Raw genomic sequence first — 22749 nt, 5'->3', positions numbered from 1 at the left:
TGACGAGTTGAGAGAAGAAGGCTTCAGATGATCAAACTACTCAGAGCTAAAGGAGGAAGTTCTAACCCATGGCAAAGAAGTTAAAAACCTTGAAAAAAAATTAGACGAATGTCTAACTAGAATAACCAATGCAGAGAGGTCCTTAAAGGACATGATGGAGCTGAAAACCAAGGCACGAGAACTACGTGACGAATGCACAAGCCTCAGTAGCTGATTCGATCAACTGGAAGAAAGGGTATCAGTGATGGAAGATCAAATGAATGAAATGAAGTGAGAAGAGAAGTTTAGAGAAAAAAGAATAAAAAGAAATGAACAAAGACTCCAAGAAATATGGGTCTATGTAAAAAGACCAAATCTACGTCTGATTGGTGTACCTTAAAGTGAAGGGGTGAATGGAACCAAGTTGGAAAACAGTCTGCAGGATATTATGCAGGAGAACTTCCCCAATCTAGCAAGGCAGGCCAACATTCAAATTCAGGAAATACAGAGAATGCCACAAAGATACTCCTCGAGAACAGCAACTCCAAGACTCATAATTGTCAGATTCACCAAAGTAGAAATGAAGGAAAAAATATTAAGGGCAGCCAGAAAGAAATGTCGCGTTACCCACAAAGGGAAGCCCATCAGACTAATAGCGGATCTCTCGGCAGAAACTCTACAAGCCGGAAGAGAGTGGGGGCCAATATTCAACATTCATAAAGAAAAGAATTTTCAACTCAGAATTTCATATCCAGCCAAACTAAGCTTCATAAGTGAAGGAGAAATAAAATCCTTTACAAACAAGCAAGTGCTGAGAGATTTTGTCACCACCAGGCCTGCCCTAAAAGAGCTCCTGAAGGAAGCACTAAACATGAAAAGGAACAACCAGTACCAGCCACTGCGAAAACATGCCAAATTGTAAAGACCATCAATGCTAGGAAGAAACTGCATCAACTAACGAGCAAATAACCAGCTAACATCATAATGACAGGATCAAATTCACACATAACAATATTAACCTTAAATGTAAATAGGCTAAAAGCTCCAATTAAAAGACACAGACTGGCAAATTGGATAAAGAGTCAAGACCCATCAGTGTGCTGTATTCAGGAAACCCATCTCACGTGCAGAGACACACATAGGCTCAAAGTAAAGGGATGGAGGAAGATCTACCAAGAAAATGGAAAACAAAAAAAGGCAGAGGTTGCAATCCTAGTCTTGGATAAAACAGATTTTAAACCAATGAAGATCAAAAGAGACAAAGAAGGCCATTACATAATGGTAAAGGGATCAACAAGAAGAGCTAACTATCCTAAATATGTATGCACCCAATACAGGAGCACCCAGATTCATAAAGAAAGCCCTTAGAGACCTACAAAGAGACTTAGACTCCCACACAATAATAATGGGAGACTTTAACACCCCACTGTCAACATTAGACAGATCAACGAGACAGAGAGTCAACAAGGATATCCAGGAATTGAACTCAGCTCTGCACCAAGCGGACCTAATAGACATCTACGGAACTCTCCACCCCAAATCAACAGAATATACATTCTTCTCAGCATCACACCACACCTATTCGAAAATTGACCACATAGTTGGAAGTAAAGCACTCCTCAGCAAATGTAAAAGCAAAGAAATTATAACAAACTGTCTCTCAGACCACAGTGCAATCAAACTAGAACTCAGGATTAAGAAAGTCACTCAAAACCGCTCAACTACATGGAAACTGAACAACCCACTCCTGAATGACTACTAGGTACACAACGAAATGAAGGCAGAAATAAAGATGTTCTTTGAAACCAACGAGAACAAAGGCACAACATACCAGAATCTCTGGGACACATTCAAAGCAGTGTGTAGAGGGAAATTTATAGCACTAAATGCCCACAAGAGAAAGCAGGAAAAATCTAAAATGGACACCCTAACATCACAATTAAAAGAACTAGAAAAGCAAGAGCAAACACATTCAAAAGTTTGCAGAAGGCAAGAAATAACTAAGATCACAGCAAAACTGAAGGAAATAGAGACACAAAAAACCCTCAAAAAAATCAATGAATCCAGGAGCTGGTTTTTTGAAAAGACCAACAAAATTGACAGACCGCTAGAGCAAGACTAATAAAGAAGAAAAGAGAGAAGAATCAAATTGACGCAATAAAAAATGATAAAGGGGATATCACCACCGATCCCACAGAAATACAAACTACCATCAGAGAATACTATAAACACCTCTATGCAAATAAACTAGAAAATCTAGAAGAAATGGATAAATTCCTCAACACATACACCCTCCCAAGACTAAACCAGGAAGAAGTTGAATCTCTGAATAGACCAATAACAGGCTCTGAAATTGAGGCAATAATTAGTAGCCTACCAACCTAAAAAAGTCCAGGACCAGATGGATTCACAGCCGAATTCTACCAGAGGTACAAAGAGGAGCTGGTACCATTCCTTCTCAAACTATTCCAATCAATAGAAAAAGAGGGAATCCTCCCTAACTCATTTTATGAGGCCAGCATCATCCTGATACCAAAGCCTGGCAGACACACAACCAAAAAAGAGAATTTTAGACCAATATCCCTGATGAACATGGATGTAAAAATCCTCAATAAAATACTGGCAAACTGAATCCAGCAGCACATCAGAAAGCTTATCCACCATGATCAAATGGGCTTCATCCCTGGGATGCAAGGCTGGTTCAACATACGCAAATCAAACCACATGATTATCTCAATAGATGAAGAAAAGGCCTTTGACAAAATTCAACAGCCCTTCCTGCTAAAAACTCTCAATAAATTAGGTATTGATGGGACATATCTCAAAATAATAAGAGCTATCCAGGACAAATCCACAGCCAATATCATACTGAATGGACAAAAACTGGACGCATTCCCTTTGAAAACTGGCACAAGACAGGGATGCCCTCTCTTACCACTCCTATCCAACATAGTGTTGGAAGTTCTGACCAGGGCAATCAGGCAGGAGAAGGAAATAAAGGATATTCAATTAGGAAAAGAGGAAGTCATATTGTCCCTGTTTGCAGATGACATCCTTGTATGTCTAGAAAACCCCATTGTCTCAGCCCAAAATCTCCTTAAGCTGATAAGCAACTTCAGCAAAGTCTCAGGACACAAAATCAATGTGCAAAACTCACAAGTATTCTTATATACCAATAACAGACAAACAGAGAGCCAAATCGTGAGTGAATTCCCATTCACATTTGCTTCAAAGAAAATAAAATACCTAGGAATCCAACTTACAAGGGATGTGAAGGACCTCTTCAAGGAGAACTACAAACCACTGCTCAATGAAATAAAAGAGGACATAAACAAATGGAAGACCATTCCATGCTCATGGATAGGAAGAATCAATATCGTGAAAATGGCCATATTCCCCAAGGTAATTTATAGATTCAATGCCATCCCCATCTAGCTACCAACGACTTTCTTCAAAGAATTGGAGTAAACTACTTTAAAGTTCATATGAAACCAAAAAGGAGCCCGCATCGCCAAGTCAATCCTAAGCCAAAAGAACAAAGCTGGAGGCATCACGCTACCTGACTTCAAACTATACTACAAGGCTGCAGTAACCAAAAGAGCATAGTACTGGTACCAAAACAGAGATATAGACCAATGGAACACAATAGAGCCCTCAGAAATAATGCCACATATCCACAACCATCTGATCTTTGACAAACCTGACAAAAACAAGAAATGGGGAAAGGATTCCCTAGTTAATAAATGGTGCTAGGAAAACTGGCTAGCCATATGGAGAAAGCTGAATCTGGATCCCTTCCTTACACCTTATACAAAAATTAATTCAAGATCGATTAAAGACTTAAATGTTAGACCTAAAACCATAAAAACCCTAGAAGAAAACCTAGGCAATACCATTCAGGACATAGGCATGGGCAAGGACTTCATGTCTAAAACACCAAAAGCAATGGCAACAAAAGCCAAAATTGACAAATTGGATCTAATTAAACTGAAGAGCTTCTGCACAGCAAAAGAAACTACCATCAGAGTGAACAGGCAACCTACAGAATGGGAGAAAATTTTTGCAATCTACTCATCTGACAAAGGGCTAATATCCAGAATCTACGATGAACTCAAACAAATTTACAAGAAAAAAACAAACAACCCTATCAACAAGTGGGCATAGGATATGAACAGATACTTCTCAAAAGAAGACATTTATGCAGTCAACAGACAGATGAAAAAATGCTCATCATCACTGGCCATCAGAGAAATGCAAATCAAAACCACAATGAGATACCATCTCACACCAGTTAGAATGACGATCATTAAAAAGTCAGGAGACAACAGGTGCTGGAGAGGATGTATAGAAATAGGAAAGCTTTTACACTGTTGGTGGGACTGTAAACTAGTTCAACCATTGTGGAAGTCTGTGTGGCGATTCCTCAGGGATCTAGAACTAGAAATACCATTTGACCCAGCACTCCCATTACTGGGTATATACCCAAAGGATTATAAATCATGCTGCTATAAAGACACATGCACACGTATGTTTATTGTGGCACTATTCACAATAGCAAAGACTTGGAACCAACCCAGATGTCCAACAATGATAGACTGGGTTAAGAAAATGTGGCACATATACACCATGGAATACTATGCAGCCATAAAAATGGATGAGTTCATGTCCTTTGTAGGGACATAGATGAAGCTGGAAACCATCATTCTCAGCAAACTATGGCAAGGACAAAAAACCAAACACCACATGTTCTCACTCATAGGTGGGAATTGAACAATGAGAACACATGGACACAGGAAGGGGAACATCACACACAAGGCCTGTTGTGGGGTGGGGGGAGGGGGGAGGGCTAGCATTAAGAGATATACCTAATGTTAAATGATGAGTTAATGGGTGCAGAACACCAACATGGCACATGTATACATATGTAACAAACCTGCACGTTGTACACATGTACCCTAAAACTTAAAGTAAAATAAAAAAAAAGAATGTTTAATACTGGCCCCCACTCTCTTCTGGCTTGTACAGTTTCTGCTGAGAGATCAGCTGTTAGTCTGATGGGCTTCCCTTTGTGGTTAACCCGAACTTTCTCTCCAGCTGCCCTTAACATTTTTCCCTTCATTTCAACCTTGGTGAATCTGACAATTATGTGTCTTGGAGATGCTCTTCTCGAGGAGTAACTTTGTGGCGTTCTCTGTGTTTCCTGAATTTGAATGTTGGCCTGCCTTGCTAGGTTGGGGAAGTTCTCCTTCATAATATCCTGAATAGTGTTTTCCAACTTGGTTCCATTCTCCCTGTCACTTTCAGGTACACCAATCAAATGCAGATTTGGTCTTTTCACATAGTCCCATATTTCTTGGAGGATTTGTTCATTTCTTTTTACTCTTTTTTCTCTAAACTTCTCTTCTCACTTCATTTCATTCATTTGATCTTCAATCACTGATACCCTTTCTTCCACTTGACTGAATTGGCTACTGAAGCTTGTGCATGCATCACATAGTTCTCGTGCCATGGTTTTCAGCTCCACCAGGTTATTTAAGGTCTTCTCTATGCTGTTTATTCTAGTTAGCCAGTCTTCTAATCTTTTTTTCAAGGTTTTTAGCTTCCTTGCAATGGGTTCGAGCATCCTCCTTTAGCTCAGAGAAGTTTATTATTACCGATCTTCTGAAGTCTACTTCTCTCAACTCGTCAAAGTCATTCTCCGTCCAGCTTTCTTCTGATGCTGGCAAGGACCTGCGATCCTTTGGAGGAGAAGAGGCACTCTGGTGTTTAGAATTTTCAACTTTTCTGCTCTGGTTTCTCCCCATCTTTGTGGTTTTATCTACCTTTAGTCTTTGATGATGGTGACCTACAAATGGGTTTTGTTGTGGATGTTGTTTTTGTTGATATTGATGCCATTCCTTTCTGTTAGTTTTTCTTCTAACAGTCAGGACCCTTAGCTGTAGGTCTGCTGGAGCTTGCTGGAGGTCCACTCCAGACCCTGTTTGCCTGGGTATCACCAGCGGAGGCTGCAGAACAGCAAATATAATATTGCAGAAGAGCAAAGGTTGCTGCCTGATCCTTCCTCTGGAAGCTTTGTCTCAAAGGGGCTGCCAGCTGTTTGTGGTGTTAGTCAGCCCCTACTGGGAGATGTCTCCCAGTTAGCCTACTGGGGGGTCAGGGACCCACTTTAGGAAGCAGTCTGTCCATTCTCAGATCTCAAACTCCATGCACGGAGAACCACTGCTGTCTTCAAAGCTGTCAGACAGGGACGTTTAAGTCTGCAGAAGTTTCCGCTGCCTTTTGTTCAGCTATGCCCTGCCCCCAGAGGTGGAGTCTATACAGGCAGGCAGGCCTTGTTGAGCTGCGGTGGGCTCCACCTAGTTCGAGCTTCCCAGTTGCTTTGTTTACCTAGTCAAGCCTCAGCAATGGCAGATGCCCCTCCCCCATCCTCGCTGCCACCTCTCAGTTTGATCTCGGATTGCTGTGCTAGCAGTGAGCAAGGCTCCATGGGTGTGGGACCCGCCAAGCGAGGCGCAGGATATAATCTCCTGGTGCGCCTTTTGCTAAGACCATTGGAAAAGCGCTGTATTAAGGCGGGAGTGTCCTGATTTTCAGGTACCATCTGTCATGGCTTCCCTTGACTAAGAAAGGGATTCCCTGACCCCTAGTGCTTCCTGGGTGAGGCGATGTCCTGCCATTTTGGCTCACACTCTGTGGGCTGCACCCACTGTCCAACCAGTCCCAGTGAGATGAACTCGGTACCTCAGTTGGAAATGCAGAAATCACTCATCTTCTGGGTCGCTCATGCTAGGAGCTGTAGCCTGGAGCTGTTCCTATTCGGCCATCTTGGGTGGTTCCAGGTTGTGCGTTCTTTATGAGAATCTAATGCCTGATGATCTGTCACTGTCTTTCATGCCTCACATGGGACCATCTAATTGCAGGAAAACAAGCTCAGGGCTCCCACTCATTCTACATTATGGTGTATAATTATTTCATTACATATTACAATGTAATAATAATATAAATAAAGTGCACAATAAATGTAATGCACTTGAATCATCCCAAAACCATCCCCCACCTCAGCCCTGGTCCATGCAAAAAATGTTAATTTTGTTCACTTTCTCTGGTGCAAAAAGGTTGAGGACCACTGATCTAGATCATAATTTTTTTCATTTATTGTGATACTGTAAGCAATGGCCTGTACATGTCAAATTCCTCAGCATGGAAGAAGCAACTGCTACAAAAAAGCAAAAAGAGATTATCAGAGACAGCAACATAAAAATAGTCATTGGGCACACACTTCTCAATGATCTAGGTAAGGGCCTCACCAAAGAGATCTCTAGGTTTGGTTACCCAACAATAAGGACTCACAAAAGGAGATTAATGGGCTCTTCACCAGGGAACTCATGGTTTGGTGGTAGTGTGCCATTTTGGGCTCAATGGCAGCCTCCTAGGTTCTGCCCAGTGCTGGCCCCTATAACTAATACAAATGCTGCTCTCCTCTTCTACCATTGAATTTTGAAATGAATTAGAGAGCCCTGCCAATTTTTATGCAAATCTTTTGGCTTAAAAAAAAAAAACAGAAAACAAGACTATGACATGGCCAATGTCCCTATGTCCCCAGTGAGGAATGGAGGCCCTATATCAAAGTTAAAGTTCAAAGTGGACATGGAGAATTTCATTTCTTGGGCCTTTTGCATAATAGTGCACAGGCGACTGTGATCCCCAAAATCCCTGGCATGAGAATGAGGAGGAAATAGATAAGGTTCTCTGGTTTTCAGTTGGAGGCCACCACCACCAACATCCTGATCTGACTACAGGTAGGTCTCTTCAAGCCACTACATACTTCCATCATTATGGAACCCATTACTGAATGGGTTATTGTTATGACATATTGTCTATGTCTACCCCTGACTGTATTCACCCCCAGTCCCTGAGGCGAATTGTTGCAATTAGGACCATTTTTTTGGGGTATATGGAAGACTAAACCCACCAGACTACCAGAAGCTAGTGTCTTTGTCTCTTAAAAACACTATCAACTGTCTTGGGGATTAAAAAAAAAAAAAGTCTTCATTGCTGTGCTTAAGGAAGCCAAAGTTCACCATCTGGCCTTTTGCTTAAGGCATTGTGTGCCTGGAAAAGAATTGACTATTGGTGGCTCATGCCGTAGTTCTGTCTTTGGCACTGCTGTTACCTGATACTATGACTATCACAGAGGCTACTACCCAAGCTGAGGGAAATAGCTTTAAAGCAACTGACATTGTAAATGCCCTTTTCGGCATCCTTGTCCACAAAGATGATCAAGATCAGTCCGCCTTACATTAAATGGGCTGCATTACACCTTTAATGTCCTCCTCAAGGCTGTGACGTGAAAACAGCAACACTCCCAGATGAAGCACTGGCCTTCCACTATATTCATTTTGTCTGGGCCCAGACAAAAACACTACCCGGCAAGGGCTAGGTCACTCTCAGCTTTAGTCACTCTTAGCCCCAACAAGTAAAAGGAAAGCCCAGACTAGAGCTCTCAAATTCCCTTAACGGGCATCTTCATGACACCATCTATCAGGTTACCAATAAGACCTCTACCCTTAGGTGAAGCCTAAAGACAGGATGTTCTGGAGACCCTCCAGTGACCACATAGGTTGTTTTTCCCCTTGGCCTTCTCTGATACATTTTGTCATTTGAGTTACACATCTCACCAATCTCTCTGTTTGCCAATTAGAGTCTATGACAGAAGGATACTGCCACATGTCCCAAGGTTCCTGTTGAACACTTGGACTCATAATCTCCTACAGTTGGCTGAAAGCAAACACCCTTTGACAGACTAATGATTTTTATTGGATTTGGTGGACACCGAGCACATGAGCATGCCATAAAATAGTCTCAAGACCAGAAATTCCAACCAAATATTATATGGCTTTTGTTCTCTAGTTATTTTAAGGTATTCACACTGTAAAGTATAAAATTTCCATAAACTATATGCTCAACTACATAGTCATGAACCAAAGAAAAATGATCTAATGAGATTAACTTTAAAATTTTTAAGTTATCTATAATTATTATACTTACTACTATGTCTTTTCTCTCTAGGAAGTTTTTTGGTTTTTTCAATTTGCATTTCCAGTTTTGACACTGAATCTTGATGTTCAAGCACAAGATTTTTGCCTGGTTCTTCATCATGAGCTACATAAGGAGATGCATTTAGTCTCTTAATGGAAAAACAGACCTACTGTGAAATCTCTAGATTTCAAACTTGTAATTGTGTAGCAAAATTTTCTCATTTTGATAAATTTGTAAGTAAATTATCAGAAATCCAGATGTGACATGACTACTATAAGAACATTTTTAATGGGTGTGTGGTGAAGCTCATTATTTCATAACATTTCTAGGCATCTGATATATATTAGTCACTAGTTTCCTTATGTTATTTATACTTTAGGTTAATACATATTCACAGAAATAAAAATAAAAATGCATAGGTACAATGTTATTTATTATAGCATATATGTAATTGCAAAATAGTCAAAACTACATAAACTTTCAAGCAGAGGAGACTGGTTGAATAAACTGAGATATGTATATCCAGTAAGTCCTCACGTAATGTCATTGATAGAATCTTGGAAACTGTGACCTTAAGCAAAATGACACATAATGAAACCCATTTTGCCGTAGGCAAATTGACATAAACAAGAGTTAAGTTCTTACAGTATTTTTTTGGTAACAAAAACATCACAAACTTCTAAATAAAGACCCAAAACACTTCTAATAGTAAACACTAAAATAAATGTGAGCTATACACAGATTTAAGAAAAAATAATAAAAACAAGTGACAATTATTTACCCAATTTGTGGTTAATCAGTGAATGATGGTTGTCATAGTGGTGGTGAGTTAAGTCAAGGAATAAACTTCTTGATTTATTCAAAGGAATAAATCAAAAGCAAAGCAAAATTGTAAGGAGCATCTCCTCCCATCATATAATTTAAAAGCAATCACAAATATGGTGGCTTACAGAGTGCTTTTGTACTGCATTGTTTATTGTCTGCATTTGTATAATTATTGTATATGAATTTTTATTTTATAATAACTTGTATTCATTCATTCATTCACATGTTTTGCAGCCTACTTATCCCAGTTAAGGGTTGCAGCTGGTTGGAACATATCCTAGCAGCTCAGAGCACAAGGGGGGAGCCAGCCCTCGACAGAATGCTATGCCATATCAGGGCGCACTCAGACACATACCCACACTCACTCAGACAGGGACCATTTAGACACATCAATTTACCTAACATACATATCTTTGGAATGTGGGAGGAAATTGGAGCACCTGGAGAAAATTCATGCAGACACAGGGAGAATGTGCTAACTCCAGACCATGTGCCTGGCTAGGAATCAATTTTTTTTTCTTATTAACATTATAATCAAACAATGTTGAACAAAATGATGTTATTCAAGGACGTGCTGTATACCACACACTATGGTATAGTACATATGGTAAATAATGTGGTACAAACAACTGTAAGTGTAACTGTAAAACAAATTAAACATGTCTATAAATTGACCTGAAGGGATTTCAAAGAATAATGTGAAGGAAAAAAATACCTACGAAGGGGAAAACTTGAATGCCATCTTTGGGGAAGGAAGATGAAGAAATGAGAAAAAAAATAGAGAAGGAAATAGAGAGATAGTTATCTTTACAAAAAGAAGCAGAGGAGAGATATAAGAAACAATGTTATTGGTTACCTACAAAATGAGGGAGAGGACTGGGGAAGAAAATATACTCCTCTAAGTATAACTTTTTGCATATATATTGTTTTACTTTCAAAAGTAGTTTCATGTCCTACAATTTCAAAAACAAAATTAAATCAACAAGGAAAAGAAGGTGGGGTGAAAATTAAAAGGAAATAATGAAATGAAATCATTGAAGAAAAAATAAAAGCAGTAACTCATCAATATAGTATTTGACATAAACCCTCACTATTGGACATGAGAGGTGGAGGTGGAGTGTAAACAAATCATGAAATCTTTTTAGTTGTTGTTCTAGTATGTGTTAAGCAATCTGAACTCAATTTGAGAGGAATTAGAATAGGGAGCAAATAGCTAAAGGTATTCATGTGGTTCAGAGCTCCAGCTAACTCAGCCTCAGGGTCCATAAAATGGAAAACAGCTTCTTGTTTGGGACTCCTTCCACCATGAGACAACCCCATCCCATGCCCACTCACACAGTCTACACTGATGCATCTGACCCTTGCTAAGTGCTTTTCTGTGGGGTAAAATGGGACACTGGTAGAGCTGGGGACCTGCCTCTATCTAGGCTATGGCTTTTAATATGCTAGTAAGTGAATAAGGTTAATTGTTACTTTGAGTTTGGCATGTTATCTTAATAGACCAACTCAAAAACTGGCATTTCTGTTTCTAACAAACTACCACAAAGAGCAGGGTGGTCAATGAAGCACAAAGCCTTTCTGGAAGGAACACTTTGGTAGGTACTAGTGAGCCTGCAGGACACTCTCAGTGGAAGGGTGATGGGGAGGCTACTGGATCAATTGCAAGAGACTCAACATCCCACAGGGCACTCTGCCAGTCATGTCAATCAATCATCTCTTAGAAAGTGCCAGCAGACACCATGCGGTTTTCTAGAATGCTAATGTATTATTTACATGAGCTTTTCAATTCTGACATGGAACAATAGTCTCTTTATCCTCTGATTCACATACCAAGATATCCAGTGAGTCAATTGAAAAATCCAGCAGATGGGCTCTGAGAAAGCTAGGGAAGCAATTTTGTGGTTATTGCTCCTGGCCCTAAGTCAATGGGCTCAAAAAAGTTGGAGACTCTGCACACTGAGTTGTACCTAATGACTATTCTTAGCCCTAGGCACTCCCCTAAAAATGGTGGACAGCCTGTAATGCAGTCAGTTATTGAGACTCATGCTTTAATGAAAAACAATGCAGAGTCCTGATGATCATTTTGCCCAGCAACTAAGAGATGTGGGTAGTGTGCCTTCACAATAAAGCAATAATCTTGTTTAACTTAGGGAGTGAAAGGGGCATATTGTGGAGCTTATCACTACAGAATGCCTCCTTAAGAGAATCTTGACAGTGCCCATATTGCCTAAGGAAGTGGAGGAAAGGGGGACGAATGATGTAAACATCTGAAACCCTCTCCTTCCTCAGTTGGGAACTATTTTTGGCTCTGACAGGATTGCCCACCCATGACATGTTCCCTGCTACTGGAAAACATGTTTGGGCCATCATCTGCAGAGGCTACAATGGCCCCTTGAGGCACTCCGCTGTCTCTAAGGTCACTGATGGAGTGAGGACAGTTGTGTTCCCTGCTACTGGAAAACATGTTTGGGCCTTCATCTGCAGAGGCTGTAATGGCCCTTGAGCCATTCCGCTGTCTCTAAGATCACTGATGGAGTGAGGACAGTAATGACAAGATTTAACCAGATTTAGATGTCTAGTTTCATTTCATAGCCTTTACTAGCTCAATTAAACCTCCTTATAAGATAATGTCAATTAATTTGTGGCACAATTCAGATCTTAACTGACAAATTTCTGGGCATAGAAAAAGCATCTACCACCAAGATAGCAATGTGTGACCAGTGAACAGTGTGACCTAAAAATGGTAATTTGGCACCCATTCCTGGGTGATCTAGTTAAGGGCTCTCCCCAAGAAATATCTGAGTCTAGTTAATCAATGATGGAATCTGAAGTAGGACACTGATGGACTTTTCACCAAGAACCTCCTGGCCAGGTAGTGGGCCATGGGTACCAACACATAGCCCTACTAAATCCAGAATGCGATGACCCCATGACTAATAAAAGTGCTCTTCCCTTTGCACCTCCCAGTGATATTGAAATCAATCAGAGAACCCTCCACTACTTTTGCTCAAACTTCATGCTCTCGAAAATAAAGAAAATTAAGAGTTAGGCCAAGATCCCCATGTTACCAGTGGTAATCTGAGAATGTATCGTAAGGTCAGAATTTAAAGGGAAGGTGGGAAGAAATTGCATTTCTAGGGCCATTAGGATACTGGTGCACAGGTGGCTGTGATCCCCACAACCTCTGACACCAGGAACTGGGGAAAAGAAGTAATGCTCTCTGGTTTTGCATCTGAGGACACCACCAAAATGACCCTTGGTCAAACACTACCATGAGAGTATCCTTTCGGACAACTGCAAAACTCCATTTTATTCCCCTCCCCCACCAAATGTATTGTTGGTATAGATGTATTTTCTATGTGAACCCCCACTTGCATTCATCCCAGTCCCTGATGGAAACTGAGGCATTTAAGGTCATTTTAGTGGGGCATATGGAAGAATGTAAATATCCAGATTAACAGCACCTAGCACCTTTGTTTCCCAGAATAGCTTCCTAGGAAGAAACAGAAAGGCTGTTGTCATTTGTTGAGCTTAATGAAGCAAAAGTTCTCTATAAGACTATTTCTCCATTCAATAACTAAGTAGATCTTGTACACACCCTCAGGTGCATAATGACTCAATTGATTTTGCTGGTCCAATGCTATATTACAGCCCTGGCCACCAAAGACACAAGTGACTACAGTTGTCATACAGGATATTTTCCAAACTGAGGGAACTTGTTTGCAACAACTGACACCTCAAATGCCTGTCCATATCTTTTTTTCACTTAGATGTTCAGATTAACCTTATATAGAATAAGTTGGAAAACATAACTAATATCCTTCCACAAGGCTACCAAACTGCTCTAATATCTGTCATCAATGCATAATGACCTCTAAATGGCCTGCTCCCAAGGGGAGGACTAGCCTTTCATTATATTGATTATATCATTTAAGTGGACTCAAGCAAGGAAATCTCCCAAAAGGACTGGATGCTCTAATGACTCACCAGTGGCTCTTAACTGGGCCATTAGTTCAGACAAGATACAGTTACTTAGTACCTGGATAAAATGCCTAGGATTGATTTCTAAGGGGTGACATCTCATTCCAGAGGAGACTGCCAAGCTTTGATCCTTTCTGGTCTAACAAATAAAAATAAGCCCAGGCTAGGTGCAACGGCTCACACCTGCAATGCCAGCACTTTGGGAGGCCGAGGCGGGTGGATCATTTGAGGTCAGGAGTTCGAGACCAGCCTGGCCAACATGGTGAAACTCTGTCTCTACTAAAAATACAAAAATTAGGCAGACGTGGTGGTGTGTGCCTATAATCTCAGCTACTCAGGAGGCTGAGGCAGGAAAATCACTTGAGCCCGGGAGGCGGAGGTTGCAGTGAGCCAAGATCGGGCCACTGCACTCCAGTCTGGGCAAGAAAGTGAGACCGTGTCTCAAAAAAAAAACACAAGCCCAGCAGTTACTGGAACTGTTTCGATAAATACACTCTCATTTTCCCTATGTGGGATCCTTGATGACATTCATTCATCTATGGGGTTACCAGAAATTCTGTTTCATTTCAGTGGGGCCATGACCAAAAGGATGCCCTAGAGTCCCTTAAACAGGTGTCCTAGGTTACCTTTCCCTAGGTTATTATGATCCCCATTTGCTGTTTTGAGTTGCAGATCTTAGCAATATCTTTGCTGATTGGTGCCTATGGAAGAAGGCCACAGGTGAGAGGTGCCCATTAAGTTTTTGGGCCCATAATTACTTTCAGTTGGCTGAAAGGCACACTACTTTGGAAAGACAATTATACATTTGTTATAAAGCCTTGGGGGATACTGTGTGTCCTGTGGTCATGAAATAATCTAAGGGCCAGAAATCTCTCAACCAAAATGTATCAATATTTTTCACTTTTTTCTTTAATTATGGTAGGGTATTCACATTTTAGTCAAAGTGTAAAACTTTTGTGAATCAAAGCAAAAATACCTTCGGATGAACTTACTTTTAAATAATTTAAAGTTATCTTTACTTTTTATACTTACTAATAATTCTTTGCCCTTTGAGAGTTCTTTGTTCCTTCACTTGCATTTCTGATTTTGACATTGAGTCTTGATGCCTAAGTATAAGATTTTCATTTGGTTCTTTATCAGGAGCTACAGAAAAAGATGTGTTTAGTCCGCTAAATTACAAATAAATCCATTTGAAATCTGTAGATTTCAAATTTACGAATGTGCAGTGGCATTTTCTCTCATTTTTGTAAAGTTATGAATAAATTACCATAATGCTATATCTACTATGAAAATGGTGAGAAGAGTTTCAATGGGTGTGTGTTGAAACTATCTCACCATATCAATATTCCTGCACTTTGAATATGTTTTATCTTAGTCTCTGGCTTTCTTAGGTTTTTTATATTTTCAATTAATAAGTATACATAGACCAAACAATGAAAATGCATATGCACCAAGTTATTCATTACAGCATAATTGCAAATACTCAAAACCACCTAAATATACAAGCATAGATCTGTTGAGTAAAGCATATAAACTATGACAATATCAACTATGGGCTATAATGTGGTCCAAAAAACTGTACATACAGTTACAAAAGGAATGAAAAAGATCCCTACAAACTGACTTGGTGATATTTCTATGAAATAATGTTTAGTGGAAAAAAACCAAAAGGGAGAATATCTAGTATACTATCTTTTAGGTAAGACAGAAGAGGAAATAAGAAAAATATGGGGAGATATCTATCTTTATTAAATAAACACAGAAAGATAAACCAGAAAACAAAGTAGTTTGTTACCAAGTCACTGCAAACACTGCTTGCTGAGTGGCACCCAATAACTATTGTTAACTCTAAATATGTCCCTGGCATGAACAGACAGCCTATGATGACACATTGTTTGAGATTTATATTAAATTTGAAAGAATAAAGATCTCTCAGGTTCACCTCACCAGTGACCTGAGGAGTTTATAGGAACTTGAATAGTTTGCTTCTACCATAAAGGAGGTAAGCGTGTTAAGATAGTGTGCGACAGTGGCACCGTGTATAGTGTGTCACAACAGAGCCCCTCATTCTGAGTGCCCTAAAAGTGTCCAAGGAAGATGAGGAAGGGTGGCAGGGAAAAAAAAGAGATATGAACACTAGAGGCACTCTCCTTTCTCTATAGGCTATCATTTGTTCTCTGAAAGTTTGGCCCACTCATGATGAGTTCCCTGACACTGCAAGCATTGTCTAGTTACTCAACAATGAAGTCTCAAAGAAGAGCTTGATGGACTCCCCACTAAGGATCTTCTGGCCAGGCAGTAGGGCATAGGGCCAACATACAGCCCCACTAGAGTCAAAATGGTGACGATACCTATAACACATGTGCTATTTCCTCTACCCATCACAGTGATCTTAAGATGAATCAGAGAACATGGTCTGTGTTTACCCAGAAGTCTCAGCTTTCAAAACAAAACAAAATTAGGGGTTAGACCAACGTCCCTATTTCCACAGTGGCACCTGAGGATGTATACCAAGTCAGAGTTCAAAGAGGTCATAGTGTAGAATTACATAACTCACATCATTTGAATACTAGTTTACCAATGATTTATCTCCACAATCTCTGACACCAGGATGAGGGTGAAACAGATAATGCTATATGGTGTGAGGTCTGAAGCCACCAAAAACATGACCCTTACCCAAACACAACTATGGGTGGGTCCCACTGGGCCACTACAAACCTCCATTTTTATGACTCCCTCTACTGAATATATTATTGATATAGATGTATCTTCTGTGTGAATCCCCAATCACATCAGCCTCAAGCCCTAAGGGGAACTACTGTGGTTAAGGTCATTTTAGTGAAGCATGTGGAAGACTGTAAACTTACTAAACCACAAGTGTCTAGAGATTGGTCTCCAAAAATTGCCTGAGGGAGAAATAGAAATCACTGCCCTTATTGCTCAGCTCTTCATGATCATGAATCCAAAGATGTTCATGAGACTATTTCTCCATGCAATAATTAAGTTAGCTTGTGTGTATCACCTTGGGTGCCTATAAACTCCATTGATTATGGGAAGCTTAATGCTATGGTACTTCTTAGAACACTGATATGACCTGACATTGTGACTGTCCATAAAGGTAATTACCCAAGCTGAGGGAAGTAGGTATAAAGCAATTGACATAGCAAATGCCCTTTTCAGCATTCCTGTCCACACAGATGATCAGGAACAGTTTGTCTTATATGGAACAGGTTGCAACACATCTTTAAAATCCCTCCACAAAACCATGATCTGGAAACAGTTCTGTTCCTATTAACCTTCTACGACGTTGATGACTCCCTACTGGTAGGCCCAGGCAAGTCCACTATCCAGCAAGGACTGGATGTTGTATTGGCCCACATGCAGCAACATGGCTGGGCCATTAATACATAAAAAGTACAAAGACCTTGTTACCCAAGAGGAATTCCTGGGAGTAAACTAGAAAGGGGAAACATGTCTCACTCCTGAGGAGGTAACTGTCAAACTATGGTCCCTCTCTATTACAACAAATACACAAGAGGCCAAGCAACTTGTGAACCTATTCTGCTACTGGCAGTTCCCTTGATGGAATCCTGATTGCAATCATTTTAAAGTTACCAAAAAGGCCTCTACCCTGGAGCAGGCCCCAACCAACAGAATGCCCTCGAGTCCATCCAACAGGCCTCCTATGCTATTGTTCCCCTTAGCTCCTCTGATCTTTATTTGAGTTACAGGTCTTGGCAAACTTTCTGTTCACTGATTGATGCCAAATGGAAACAGCTTACTGAACAGGTCAGTGGAATAAATTGGGCTTTTGGACCTGTAACTTCCTAGAGTTGGATAAAAGGTACACACTCTTTGAAAGACAATTATTGGCCTGCTATTGTCCTTGGTGAATACTGAGCACATGATCATGGCTACAAAATACCGTTACAACAAGAAATACTAACTGCCAAGTGATAAATACTCTAGCTTTTGTTCTCTAGTTATCTTATGGTATTCATACTTTAGGTTCAAGGTAAAATTTCTGTAAATTCAAGATTCATGAACTGAAGAAAAATACCTTTGCTGTGACTAATTTAAAATAATGTAAAGTTATGTGTAATTTTTATACTTACTGGTGAGTGGTTGCTCTGTAGAAGTTTCTTGTTTCTTTATTTGTAATTTGGTTTTTGACAATGATTCTTGATGCTCAACTACAAGCCTTTCATTTGGTACTTCATTATGAGCTACATAAAGAAAATACATTTATTCCACTAAATAGAAAAATGGATCTTTTGTGAAATTTCTGTGTTTCAAATTTATAAAACATTTACATGAGCATTCTCAGTCACTTCTACAAAGTTATAACTAAATTACAATAATAATAGATTTGATGAGAAAATGCTGAAAAGAATTTTAATGGCTGTATGTTGATGCTTTCTCACTTTATAAACATTTCTAGGAATCATATATAGTTAGTCTATATTTTTCCTAGGTTCTTTATATTGTATAGATCATATAGATGTCATAAACCAAACAATAAAAATACATATGTACAAGTTTATCATTATGGCATTATTTGTAATTACAAAATACTCAAAACCACATAAATGTTCAAGCATTGGATATTGGTTGAATAAGCCAATGTATATACCATAAAGTTCTAGGGGTGTCCAAGGGAGAGAATACAGTCATGGATTCTTAGTTTCTGCTTCTGGTTGAGCCAGTAAAGCCCCTTTCTCATTCCTCTTTTCTGCTTATCACTAGAGACAGAAACTAAAAACCATGGCTTTGGGCTGCTAAAAGCCTAAAACAAAACAGACCAGAATGACAACAACAAAATAAGGCAGGTTGGACAAGCTTGCTATAAACTATAGTATAATGAAAGTTATGGTTAATAATGTGGTACAACAGCTATACATAGAGTTGTAAAAGCAATTTAAAAAATCTCTATAAACTGACCTGTAGGGATTTCCAGGAGATAATGTTAAGTGAAAAAAAAAAAATCCAAAAAAGAGAAAACTTGTATGCCACCGTTAGGTAAGGAAGAAGGATTAAAAAAAAGAAAGAAAGGAAATTAGAAAGATACTTAGCTTTACAAAATGAAACAGGTGAAATGTAAGAATACAATATAGTTGATTACCTACAAGATGAAGGAGGGTGAACTAGGGAAGGAATGGAACTTCTCTAAGTATACCTCGCATATTTTTTACTTTTGGAATCAGTTTCAGGTTTCGTATATTTCAAAAAAAAAAAAAATTAAATTAAATCACAAAGGATAAGAAGAAACTAAAACTGAAAGCAAACTTAGTGAACCTATTAAAGAGAAAAAACTCATACAGGTAAATCATCAATACGATATTTAACATATGCCCTAATACTTGGACAAGTGTGTGGAGAAGAGACGGTACACACATCACAAAATATTTTCAGTAGGTTTGTTTTTCTAGAAGTATGTGCTAAGCAATTCTAAAATAATTTTGGAACTGCAATACAATCCAGATTTTAAGACCAACATGGCTGACTAGAAGCAGCTAGTGTGAACTGCTTTCACAGGAGAGAAGACAGAGTGGCAAGTAAACTTACAAATTTATAAGTGGCAAGTGGCTCTTCAACTGGATCATCCAGGAGGCCACCTTGGGATTCATCAAGGAAATAGTGGTGACCCATGGAGAGCAGAGAGGAGTGAGACAGGACAGCAACCTGCCTGGGATTGGCACAGAGCCAGGGAAGGCTCCCCACCATGGGGAAAGAGTGAGTGCTTGAGAGCCCCTGGGGACACATACCTCTGCCATGAACCTTTGCAAACCTAGGCACAAGAGATCCTGCCCAACCCTACTCCCTGGGGCCCCCAGACTGACACAGAAAGCTGCATGGAGTCTCCGCAGAGCCGCTATTCAGGCCCATGTGGAGCTCCAAGGGCTTTGGATTCCTGAGCACCCTGGGACCAGCTGCCATAGCTCTGCCAAGAAGGGAGGCAGGGATCTCCCATGCGCCCCAGGATAAGGGCCCCATCTAGGATACTGAAATGTGGACAGACTGGAGGCCTCACCTCTGGGGCACCTTGCCAAGCAAAGCCAATCGGCCTAGGTCCCCAGCACAGCAACCCACCTCACCCCACCCCCCAACCTGATCACTTGGGCTGGCTGCAGCTCTGCATTTCTCTGAGGCAGAGATTCCAGAGGTAACACAATAGGCCCACAGCTTTTGCCACTGCCATAGTCTCCCCAGTCCCCATTGCCCTGAGGATAGAGAGACAGTATAGAGCTCAAAAGCTATCTCGTGCCTCCAACATGCAACACGTGCCATAAAGAAAAACAGCCACACTGCTTTTCATGCAGGTCCCAGGCCTTGCTACTCCTTACTAAGCAGGGCCTTCCGACCTTGGCCCTCAATGCAGCCACCCTACTTCTGCCTGATCACTTCCGTCTGTGGCAGCTCTGTGTTTCTCTGGGGTGGAATTCCCATTGGCAATTGGCAACAAGCCCCTCTGCCATTGCTGCTGCAGCAGTACTCACCAGCAGGGTGAAAGATCTCTACAGTGAGAATTACAAAGCACTGCTAAAAGAAATCAGAGATGACACAAAGAAGTGGAAAAACATTCCGTGCTCATAGACAGGAAGAATCAATATTGCTAAAATTGCCATACTACTCAAAGCAATTTACATATTCTATGCTATTCCTATCAAACTACAGAATAAGAAAAACCTATTCTAAAATTCATATGGAGCAATAAAGAGCCCAAATAGCCAAAGCAATCTTCAGCAAAAAGAACAAAGCCCAAGATAGCACACTACAGAATTTCAAACTACTCTACAAGGTTACAGTAACCAAAACAGCATGGTAGTGGTATAAAAACATACACATAGACCAAGGAAATGGGTTAGAGAACTCAGGAATAAAGCCACACACCTACAACCATCTGATCTTCGACAAAGCTGGCAAACCAAGCAACAGGGAAAGGACTTTCTATTCAGAAAGTTGTGCTAGGATAACAGGCTAGCCACATGCAGTAGACTGAAATTGGACTGCTTCCTTTCACCACATAAAAAAATAAACTCAAGATGAATTAAAGACTTAAATGTAAAATTCAAAAATATAAAACTCTGAAAATTAACCTAGGGAATATCATTCTGGATGTAGGACTTGGCAAAGATATCATGAGAAAGATGCCAAAAGCCACTGCAATAAAAACAAAAATTAACAAATAGGATCTAATTAAACTAAAGAGCTTCTGCAGAGCAAAAGAAACTATCAATAGAGCAAATAGACAACCTACAGAATAGGAGAAAATATTCTCAAACTATGCATCTAACAAAGGTGTAATATCCAGAATCTATAAGGAATTTAAACTAATCAACAAGCAAAAACCAAAGAACCCCATTAAAAATGGGCAAAGAACATGAACAGACACTTATCAAAAGAAGATATACATGCTGCCAACAAGCATAGGAAAAATGCTTAACATCACTAATCATTAGAGAAATGCAAATCAAAACCATAATGAGATACCATCTCACACCAGTCAGAATGGCTACTACTAAAAAGTCAGAAATAAGAGATGCTGGTGAGGTTGTAGAGAAAAAGGAAGGCTTTATACATTGCTGATGGGAATGTAAATAAGTTCAGCCACTGTGGAAAACAGTTTGGAAATTTCTCAAAGAACTTAGAACTACCATTTGATCCAGCAACCCCGTTACTGGGAATGACCCCAAAAGAATATAAATCATTTTACCATAAAGACACATGCATGTGCATGTTCATCACAGCACTATTCACAGTAGCAAAGACAGAATCAACCTAGATGCCTGCTCATCAACAGTGGACTGAATAAAGAAAATGTGGTACATGTACACCATAAATTGTATCCTTTGCAGCAACATTGATAAGGCTGGAAGGAAATTATCCTAAGGACATTAACACAGGCACAGAAAACCAAATGCCACATGTTCTCTCTTGTAAGTGGGTACACTTAAACATTGAGTACACATGGACACAAAGAGGGGAAAAATAGACACCAGGGCTTACTTGAGGGTGGAGGGTAGGCAGAGTGTGAGGACTGAAAAACTACCTATTGGGTACTATGCTCACTACCTTGGTGACAAAATCATTTGTACATCGAACTCCAGCAATACACAATATAGCCATGTAATAAACCTGCAAGTGTACCACTTGAACCTAAAATAAAAGTTGAAAAATAATAATGATGCTGATACAATTGGGTAATTGTGTTGTGGATTAGTCAGGATTCGCACAGTAGAAGAAAGAATATATATATATATGAAATGGAGAAAGACAAGAACAACCTCTGAGAAAATGAACTGGAATTTAAGGTGTCCAAGAGATTTGCCATGAATTCTAAATATGACTTTACAGGTCTATATCCATGTTTATATGCACATATATATGTATGCAGATGTGTGTATGAAGCTGTGTGTGTGTGTGTGTGTGTGTGTGTGTGTGTGTGTGTGTGTGTGTATACATATAAATACACTGAAGAATCCAACTTCAGGCCAACCCTGCTTTTGTGTGATCTTTCAGGTCCAATTATGGACAGTTACAAAGGCACTACCTGGCAATTATCATAGAGATTCCCAACACAAAAGAGACTTGAGGTAAGATTTGTGTACTGCAGGCATAGGAGGTAGTCGCAGTCTTGAATCAACTCCTCTCCCCTTGGCCAACCAGGCTCTTGGGCATATAACATTTTTAGTCTAATCGCCTTAAGTTGAAAACCTCTTTATAGGGGAAGGTGGGGGCTTGACTGTATTGTTCAGACAGTAGCTGTATTGTGACAAACAATGACTGTATTGTTCAGTCAGTGCGTCTGGCCAGACCACCTATGGTGTGAAGTAGTGGGGTAGAGGAAATCCTTAAAGAAACTTTTCTCAGTTCTGACTCAATATTCTGGACTTAACCAATCCTAGCCTTCCCCAGCACTACCTC

The 22749-nt window shown here is 40.0% G+C and overlaps 1 protein-coding gene across 45 annotated transcripts in view; it reads right to left on the bottom strand.

Annotated features, from left to right (window-relative positions):
- Positions 1 to 22749, bottom strand: part of CCDC7 (coiled-coil domain containing 7) — a 439541-nt gene that overhangs the window by 178845 nt on the left and 237947 nt on the right. For 38 of the 45 annotated variants that reach the window (XM_047425743.1, XM_047425742.1, NM_001321115.2 and 35 more), the window contains 3 exons: positions 17940 to 18050; positions 14857 to 14967; positions 9028 to 9141 (listed from right to left, as the gene is read on the bottom strand). In XM_047425743.1, coding sequence (XP_047281699.1) covers positions 9028 to 9141; positions 14857 to 14967; positions 17940 to 18050 — 336 coding nt within the window. Of the gene's footprint in view, positions 1 to 6741; positions 6890 to 9027; positions 9142 to 14856; positions 14968 to 17939; positions 18051 to 22749 lie in introns of those variants that run through there. The other 7 variants (XM_011519673.1, XM_011519676.1, XM_011519672.1 and 4 more) reach the window with 4 other exon arrangements.

This window comes from Homo sapiens, chromosome 10 (genome assembly GCF_000001405.40).
Source record: "Homo sapiens chromosome 10, GRCh38.p14 Primary Assembly".
In the NCBI taxonomy this organism is placed as follows: Eukaryota; Metazoa; Chordata; class Mammalia; order Primates; family Hominidae; genus Homo; species Homo sapiens.
This window is presented reverse-complemented; position numbering and strand designations above follow the sequence as displayed.